Below are 10,159 nucleotides of genomic sequence, written 5' to 3' on the forward strand. Positions count from 1 at the left end.
TTTCTAGTAGTGCAAGAACAGACTAATACAAGAGTGATTTTCATCACCCCCTGTCCCTCCTTGGTCAAAGGTTGCCCTTAGGGTGTTAACTCATTTGTGCTGCCTGGTTTAACCTGTGTATCCTTATATCCAAATGATTGAATGGATTCCTGCTGGCAACCCAGGAGTGGGAGAGCAGATAATCCTTTGCCAGGAAGTGAGAGAGAGGAGGAACACCTGAAGCAAGATGCTATCATTTATACCTCTGTACAGCTGTTTGCTGCATTAATGGCTAAAATTAAAAGGCAGGTCAAGAGAATATGAGGTGTGCCCCAAGAGGTACCTAATATACCTTCTTTGGAAGCTTCATTACAAATTAGGTTCAGTTTCTCTTATCTTAAGGACTTCTGGCAATTTTCCATCTTTAAGCCTCTTTTCACTGTATTAAGAAAATTTTGAATAAATAAAATTATAACAAATGATGTAATAGGACCCTACGTACCCAGCTTTAACAACTGTCAATATTCCGCCACTCTTATTTCATCAATTGCTACATCACCTTTTTGTCTGGCATATTGTAAAGCAAATCCAATGCGATATATTAATTTTTATCTATAAGAACTTTAGTATATATCTCTATTAGATAAGAACTTTAAAATCTAATCACAATATCATTGTTACACTTGGCAAAATAAATGTAATCTAATGCCAAGTTCATGTTCATTTTTTCCTTTTTCCAAAATGCTTCTTATACAGTTGCTTTATTTTCATTGAATATATAATATTGTGTGTTGTGTGTGTGTCTGTGTGTGTATACCTAACACCTCATTTATTTGTTGAAGCAACAGCAACTAGATCATGTGTTCTGTGGAATTTCCTATACTGTCTCACTGACTGTTAATGATTCCATGGTGTTTGTATAAGATACTCCTCCCTAACAGAGTTTTAAACCTGGGTATCTCAGATCGATAGAACTCAAGGAGTCTATTACTATGGATTGGACAGAAAGCATCTTTATGTTCCCTGATGACTAACAGAAATTTAGCATTTCCTTTATATTGAATGTAGGCAACCAATCACAGAAATATTAGCACTGCTATATAGGCTTCTATTTGTCACAAGTAAACAAGTAAATATTTCCATATAATATTACAGTTGTTGCAGATATCTTGAAATGCTATTTTCCTTTATTATTCTTCTATTGATTATTTTACATCAACATTTAACTGTGGATATTAGATACCCTACTAGAATATAAGTAATCAGTCTTCTTGTCCGCAATCCTCGTTAGCCAACTAGGAACCAAACCTGAGCCTAATGATTATTTATCGACAACACCGTGCCTTGGTTTGGATAGACTACATGAGAGTACTCAACTCTGTTTGTGTTATTAAAAGGCAGTCTTTTGTTACACAAGCTATGAATGTAGACTATGCAAGTTCAAATATATCTTACAGTTGAGGTAAATACCATGTTTGCTATTTAACGTAACTTTTTATTACTACAATTCGATTGTGTACTTCCAGCTCTAAGCTTTGTGAGTAGCAGAGGCTTTTCTTGTTTATCTTTTTTCTTGGGGCTTTTTGAACACTATCTATGTCATGAAACAAAAACTTTCACATACTAAAATATTAGCAGTGAAATTCGATTTCAGGAAGACTCTATATATGTGAGAAAAATCTTGGAAATTTATGTGTTGAAATGGATTCTGATGTATTTCTTTTGACAGGTCTAAATCAACTAAAAATTATTGCACCCAATCTGTGTCACTTGGAGATGAAGAAAATAAAAGGCAGCGAAAAAATATTCTTTGTTAGAAAGAATTCCATTTTACCATTTTATTTAAAAATTCATAGAAATTCTTAAGTTGTTGAAAATTATTTATCAAGTTATAGGTGGCAAGAAAACATTGGGGATTCTTATTGTACTTGTCTTTCCTTCCATATAGTTCCTAAGTGAGTAATTTTATTTCTTTAGTAAGAAAAATAAAACATGATAAAATGATGAATTATTTCTACATGATAGTAAGGTGAGTGTATATTTTATCATTTTTTCCCTGTATTGTTTAAATTTTCTCAGTATTAAAAAAAACTAAAAAACAATGACACCATTGCTACCATCAAGGAGCAATGCAATAAAGAAGAAAAGCAAGTAAAACACCAATTTGGAAAGTGTGTGACTAATGCTATGTTAGAAGGACAGACTATGTGCTATGAGAGCAGAGAGGTTGGGTGCCTAACTGATAGGAACTAGGGAACAGCTTCCCAAACGCATGGCCAGCAATTAAGAGATGAGAAGGAGTTGATGAACTGGGAACTGCAGGTTGAGTTTCTGGTGAAGGCAGTAAGAAGAGTATTTACAAAGGGAAGACAGCCAGAGAGAACATGATATTTTGGAGGAACTGGAAGGAATTTTTAATGTCTCGGGTTCAAAAGGTGTGTGAAGGAGTTGTGAGAGTGGGGGCTGGAAAGGCAGGCAAGGGTGAGATGCTGAAAGGAAGTAGATTCAACTCTCAGGAGTTTCAAGTTTATCCTGGGTGAGGGAACCCACCAGACACTTTTCATTAGGGCATAATATTACCAGGTGTAGATTGTAGAGAGATCACTGCAGGGAGACCAAATAGCTTGATCTTATAATAGGCTATTTGAGAAGTGATTGTCTGAACTAGGGAGAGAAGCAGTAGGGCATAGGGGAGGAAATCAGATGTAGGAAGTGGAAACTGTAGGACTAATTACATGTGACTGTGAGGAACAGAAAGAATAAGCAGATGACTAGGTGAGTAATTTTGAATGAACTAGGATTTTTATTATTGTTTGACAAGTGTTACTAAAGGTATGCAGTATAAATGTGACCTATTACTTTGCATATTTTTTGAAAGACTACCTTAAATATTTTAAATGTTAACCAAAACTAGATTTTGAAGAAGTTACAACTTATTAATAATTACCAAGATTTAAGTACTATAATATTAATGAGTTGCTATTTGCTACACTGTAAAATTTAGAATCCAAACGATAATGATAACTTTGCATTTTGACATCAACTGTTATTAAAATAATACCTGAAGGAAATAATTAAATGTATTTATGAGATAAGTAGCTCTTTCTCACCACATACTTTTTCAGTCATTCATTTAATGTTGAAATTCTCAGATTTGTACTGAATCTAAATCAGAGGTTCTCAAACTTTAGCCTGCATCAGGGTCACTTGAAGGCTGTTAAAACTCAGATTGCTGGCCCAGAATTGTTAATCCAACAAATTTGGAGTAGCATTTGGGAATGTGCCTTTCTCAGAAGTTCTTACTTGATGTGGAGGCTGATGGGCTAGGAACCACACTTGGAGAATCACTGTTGTAAAATGTTATGTGAATTTATTTAGTCGTTAATTCAACCATTGTATACAAATTTAGAATGAGTACCTACTATGTATCAAAACCTAGAAATAAAACAGTGGGAAAGCTACATTTTCTTTACTGGAGGTGATTATTCTGAGTGAGTGTGTAAGTTTGGTTTATATCACAAATTAATCCAGTGTTTAGCTACTACTTGCACTTTCATGTTTCTACAGTATTTTTATGTCACTCAATATTTTTCTATATGGAATGAATCAGTATTTTATTTATCAAATCAAGACAATCATACTTAAAATGAAATGTAAAGCTATTTCACTAAATCTGAAAAGTGAGATAGATCTGTAGATCTTATATTTATAAATAGTGATTAAGATACTGTGTTAGCTTACTAGGACTTTTATAACAAAATTCCACAGAGTGGTTTCAACAACAGAGACTTATTTCTCAGTTCTGAAGATGGAAAGTCTAAGATCAAGGTGTTGGCAGGACTTACCTTCTTGTAAGGCCTCTTCTCTTGGCTTGCAGATGGCTGTCTTCGTGCTGTTTTGTCACATGGCTTTTTCTCTGTGCCTGTGCCTTCCTGGTGTTTCTTTCTCATCTGATGAGGACGTGAGTCATTTTGGATTAGGGCCCCACCCTACTAGCCTCATTTTGACTTCACCCTGTCTTTGAAGGCCCTATCTCAAGTACAGTCACATGGATGAAGGTCCACGTTTATGACTTCATTTCACCTTAATTACCTCTTCAAAGGCCCTATCTCTATACACACTTACATTCTGAGGTACTGAGGGTTGGGACTTCAACATACGAATTTTGGGTAAATGCAACTCATCCCATAACAGACATTCACAGTTGTTACGAGAAAACATATCCTTGAAGTACAACTTTAAAATTGCCCCCTTTGAATTTGTATCTAAAACATTCTCTTTTCTTTTTCCTACAATCAGTCCTTCTATAGCCATATATTAAGGGCTACTACATTTCCAGGGCTACCATAGGAGCCAAGGGAATAAACAAAGCTTATTTTGCCTTCATTTTCCAAGGTTATTTCTAAATATTTATTTGTAAATTTGCCTATTAGTGAATTACAATGCATAGTCCTATAGAAGGCATATTTTGTTAAAGGATCAGTTTCTCAGAAGATCTAAAACAGTACATTTAATTTATAATGAGATTGAACTCTCATATAACTCACAATATAAACCAACCTAATCCCAGTTTGGGCTAAGGATAAATTGGATTTTCTTGATGCAAGTGGTAAAACAATTCACACAAGGTTGCTCAAAGGAAGACTCCTCTGTGAAATAACTATTTAGAGAGATGTGGACAGGGTTGAGAAAACAAATGAAATCCACTGAGGTGCACCAAGCCTAGCCATTACCACTCTTAGATCAGAAGGTTCAAAGGCAGGAAAGTCGGTATTGGAGCCTGCTGAAAACTGGAATCAATCATGGAGGAAGGGGACACACGGGGGAGCTGTAGACGGGTGGGTGAGTTAAACTACTCACAGAAATATGGCCCAAAGCAATGGAGTAGTGAAAATATAACACTTAATTTCTCCTTCTTTCTTCCCTCTCTTCCCCTGATGGTGCCTTCTTTTATTCAAATCCCATAAGAAGCCAGGCAACAAAGGAACTTGTGTAATGTAGTCCACGGGGATTGGCAAAGAAAGAAGTAGAATACGTGAAGACAGGGGAGGGCCAATGAATAACAGCAAATAAACAGTACAGAAGCTGCAGTGGGGCTGAGATTACAGTCAGCATAGCCATTCGGATATGTTATTTACAGACAAGAATATGTGTTTGTCAAGTATTGTTGGTATAAAATAAGCTTGTTGTATTCTTCTGCCTCTGAAATTGAACCACGGAGAAGACTAAGAAATATGCACAATAGATTACAAAGCCAAAAAAATAAACAATCATGAGCTAAGTCATGTACTGAGAAAAAAAAAGTGGAGGCTCAGTCCAGGAGAGATCACTGGGGGTCACAAATTTATATTTTAACAAAAATCAGTTGACCAATTTATTTAATGATGGCTTAACTGGTCTCCTGAGCTTATTATGCTCAGTGTCACGGTAACTCAATGGTTGATGTAAGATATTTTCCCAATCCTTGTGGAGGATAAGCCCTACTGGAATCTACTTCTTTGAGAACCCTTTGACAGTAAAGTCTTGGCGGTATTCTCAGAGTGACCAAGTCTTTCTATCTTTGGAAAGAGTTACACAGTTTCAGAAACTGCTAAGATAGCTGTGTGGTACTTGAGCTCTATAGGTGGATAGTGTAAATTTGTTACTTGACAAGATAAATGAATACCATAGAGTAATAGGAAATCACCAAGTTTTTTTTTTCTCTGACTTTTAAGTTCAGGGATACATGTGCAGGATGTGCAGGTTTGTTACATAGGTAAATGTGTGCCATGGCCACACAAATCATCTCATCACCTAGGTATTAAGCCCAGCATCCATTAGCTATTCTTCCTGATGCTCTCCCTTCTCCCAATCCCCACCCTCCAACAGGTCCCAGTGTTTGTTATTCTCCTCTGTGTGTCCATGTGTTCTCATCATTCAGCTCTCACTTATAAGTAAGAACATGCAGTATCTGGTTTTCTGTTCCTGCATTAGTTTGCTGAGGATAGTGGCTTCCAGCTCCATCTATGTTCCTGTGAAGGACGTGATCTTGTTCCTTTTTATGGCTACATAGTATTCCATGGCAAATACATTCTACATTTTCTTTATCCATTCTATCATTGATGGACATTTAGGTTGATCCCATGTCTTTGCTATTGTAAATTGTGCTTCAGTGAACATATGCGTGCATGTATGTTTATGATAGAATGATTTGTATTCCTTGGGGTATATACCCAGTAATGGGATTGCTGGATCAAATGGTATTTCTGCCTCTAGGTCTTCAAGGAATTGCCACACTGTCTTCCACAACAGTTGAACTAATATATACTCCCACCAACAGTGTAAAAGCATTCCTTTTTCTCCACAACCTTGCCAGCATCTGTTGTTTTTAGACTTTTTAATAATAGCCATTCTGACCAAGTATTTACATATATAAAAAAGCAAAAATTAGAAATATCTTCATAAAATATTTTTACCTCATTTATCAAAATAGTTGGAGCAATTATAAGTAAGAGAAAATCCACCATCTGATTAATTAACTCTTATCTTTGCACAGTTTCCGGGCTTTCTAAAATGCAACATATTATTGACAAAACATTCCATCTTTTAAACAAATTCTACAACTTTATCTCCTCTGACAAATATTTCTAAGTTCAATCTAACAGAACCCATAAGCACTAGAACTCATTATTTCCTTAGTGAATCATTTGGACAAATAATACATCACTGCTGGAAATAATTAGCTAAATTACTACATTTAATTCTATTCATATAATTGTTTGACATCTGCCTCTTCAAACATTTGTAGTAATTATTTTATTTTTATTTTGCTAAATTTTAAATTGGAACAGGACAGATATGTTGGGAAGAATCACACAGTGATTAATCCTGTAGGCTTGCAGTAGAGTCCACAGATTTGAGCTTTGGCTCCCTCCTTGCTAACTGTTACTTTAATGAAGCTTTTAAACTTCTACAAACTTTACTTTCTTTATCTGTAAAATGAGGAATAATAATACCTCTGCAATAATTATTATGAGGAATGCATGAAAAATATATCTTGGTCAGCAATTTAAGTATTTAAATTATTATTGCTATTGTTATTACATATAGCTAATATTATACTCATCTAAAATATCAAAATAATGATAATATTTACTTATTTATAAGTACGCAGTTTTTTGATGTTTATATCACTGGATATTATCACAAACAACACAATAAGCAACGTTCTTATACTTTAGATTGACACATTACTTAATTTAGTGTATAATATGCCTATGAATAACAGTAAATTAATATTTTAGACTTAATATTTCTTTTTTGCAATTATTGATCTTTTAGAATAATTTATTATTGGTGAATTGAGAGATAAGATTTTAATATTAAATAGTCCATCTTATAAAAAACATATAATAGCTTAGTAATTTGAGTGAAATTTTAGAGAAAATAAATTCCTAAATGTTAAGAGCTTCCTGGTTGGGCATGGTGGCTCACACCTGTAATCCCAGTACTTTAGGAGGCTGAGGTGGGAGGATCACTTGAGGCCAGGGGTTTGAGACCAGCCTGGGCAACATAGCATGACCCCATCTTTACAAAAAATAAAATAGAAAAATTATCCAGGTATGGTGGCACATGTAAGTAGTCCTAGCTACTTGGGAGGTTGAGGTGGGAAGATCACTTGAGCCCAGAAGTTTGAGGCTGCAGTGAGCTATGATTGCACCATTGCACTCCAGCCTGGGCAACAGAGTTAAGCTCTGTCTCTAGGAAACTTTTTTTAAAAAGTTTCCTCTAGTCAAATTCTGAGGCGTTCTAAAAAATCAACATTTCCATCTGTTCTTTCTATCATTAGTAAAGCAGGTGGTGTATGTAATATCCAAGGTAAAGTAAAAATCATTTGGGCTTTCAAAAACTCTAATACAAGTTTATAAGAAATTAGTACTACTCCTGCTTAGAGAAATTTTTAATGGAAGATAAATAATTATAGTCATAGATATTTTATTTTCCCCCCATAAAAATAGTGGAAGACCTTAGGCCATTTGTGCCTAATCTCATGTATTTAAAAAGTAGACCCCCAAGGAAAGATAATTCTAGAGATCAGAAATTCATATCCACAACTAGTATGCCTTGGCTTTTCTACCATACTTGACTGCATTCCTCATGTTGCACGTAACATACAGACACAGACACCCAAGAGAAAGTGGCTTAAACATTAAAGGGGATTTATTGGCTTTCATAAGTATGTAACTCTGGAAGCCCCTTGACTTTCTGAGTTGGTTTTGATTCAACAATCTAATGGTATCTTTACAGACCTAGTTTTTTTTTTGTTGTTGTTTTGTTTTTTTTGGTATTTATATTCGCCCATAGTCAGCTTTATCTTAGAGCTTTCCTCATGATGACAAAATTGCTGCAGCAATTCTAGTGTTTATAACCATACATCATCCTGAAATAAGAGTGTTTCTTTCCCAGCATTCTAAGCAAGAGTCCTAAAATTCACTTGTCAAAGTTCAGCTTCTGATTGGATCAGTTAAGATTACCTCCATACCTTTGAAGTAACCACTATGCAGGGATTCTAAATGTGCTGATTGATTTAGGTCAATCGGATGCCATGCTCTCAAGTCTAACTTTTCTTATAGTATCTGGGCTACATAGCGGAATGGTATACATACAAACTGAAATTCATAATGCTTTTAGGAAGGAGAAAGGAGTCAATAGATGCTGACTAGGTGGCCAATTAATCCACTGCAGGGACATTTTTCAAAGTCAGAAAAAAATCACAAAATTCAAAGAATCCAATCTCAGAGATTTTGCTAATATAACTCATCTTAAATTACATCTAGAAATAAATAAAAACACATCTAAAGAACATGTTTACTAATATTACAGTAATTATTTAACTTTTTTTTTCTCAAAGCGAGACTGTATTACCAAGGGTTATCTATTTTTTTTTAATGTAGATCTTACTGAAGCGTATAGGTCTTGGGATGCAAAAGTCTTAAATGACTGTAGCCAAGTGTATATTGGGCAGTGTGTTGCAATGGATTGTACTATTAGTTACATAAATTGGGTACTTAAAAACTCCTAATAAATAAATAATATGACAGATAAATCTTCTAAAAATATCCACTCCTAATGACATCTGGGAGACACTTGTCATGTGAATCCATCATGCTCAGTTCAGATACCTTTTCATCTGGAAACATGGTAATATTGGATTTCTAGATCTGGTTTAATACTGGATGGTTTAAGAATGCAAAAGTATAACATATATGAAAATTATATATGGTTTTATCTTTCCCATTTCTCTGGTGCCATCAACAACCACACCCCTATTTCAAATAGACCTCCAGGACAGACAACTGTGTATGAAGAGGGAAGGAAGAGTTAACATTCCTCTTCTGTCTTTTTGGTTTTAGCACAACCACTCTGGATGAGTTGAGGCAAAACTTCAGTTAGAAGAGGCTTGAGAATATTGGGCCAATACACAATATATATTAGTCAAGGTTCTCCAGATAGTCAGAACTAATAGATACTGAATAGAACCTATGAATATTATAAGGAATTGGCTCATGCAATTATGGAGGCTGATGAGTGCCCAGATCTGTAGGTGGCAAGCTGGAGACCCTGGAGAGCTGATGGTTTTGTTCTAGTTGAGTCTGTAGGCCTGAGAACCAGATACAGTTCTAGTATGAAGGCTAGTAGGTTTCAGACCGGGAAGATCCAGTGTTTCAATATGAGTCCGAAGGCAGGAAAAAACCTGTATCCTAACTCAAAGGCAGTCAGGCAAGAACACTTCTCTTACTCAAGAGAGCCTCAGCCTTCTTGGTCTATTCAGGACTTCAACTGATTGGGTGAGTCCACTGGGTGGGGACCCACTCACATTATAAGGAGGACAGTCTGATTTTCTTAGTCTACCTATTCAAATGTTAATCTTATCCAGAAACACCCTCATAGACACAATGATGTTTGACCAAATGTCTGGATATCTCATGAGCAAGTCAAGTTGACACATAAAATTAACCTTCACACAATATAAGCTCAGGATGGTTTATGTGAAAAGTTAACAGATGCTGTGAATTCTTCTTTAGGGACTGAACAATTCTGTTCAATTCAAATGAACAAGATATAAAGCTTTGCTCCAAATTTTTTAAGGCTTTAGAGCCAAAATTCTTCAGTTCTTTATATATTTTTATCCACATGTAAT

General features: G+C 35.2%; 1 annotated feature.

Moving 5' to 3' along the window:
- Window positions 3,406–4,605: an enhancer, noted in NCBI's record as "CDK7 strongly-dependent group 2 enhancer chr6:129162326-129163525 (GRCh37/hg19 assembly coordinates)". NCBI's record gives its function as "activates an origin of replication core promoter dependent on BRD2, BRD4, P300/CBP, MED14 and CDK7 cofactors, with strong dependence on CDK7, by STARR-seq in HCT116 cells {active_cell/tissue: HCT116}" and the evidence as "EXISTENCE:reporter gene assay evidence [ECO:0000049][PMID:35650434]".

The sequence above is a fragment of the Homo sapiens genome, chromosome 6 (assembly GCF_000001405.40).
Source record: "Homo sapiens chromosome 6, GRCh38.p14 Primary Assembly".
NCBI lineage: Eukaryota > Metazoa > Chordata > Mammalia > Primates > Hominidae > Homo > Homo sapiens.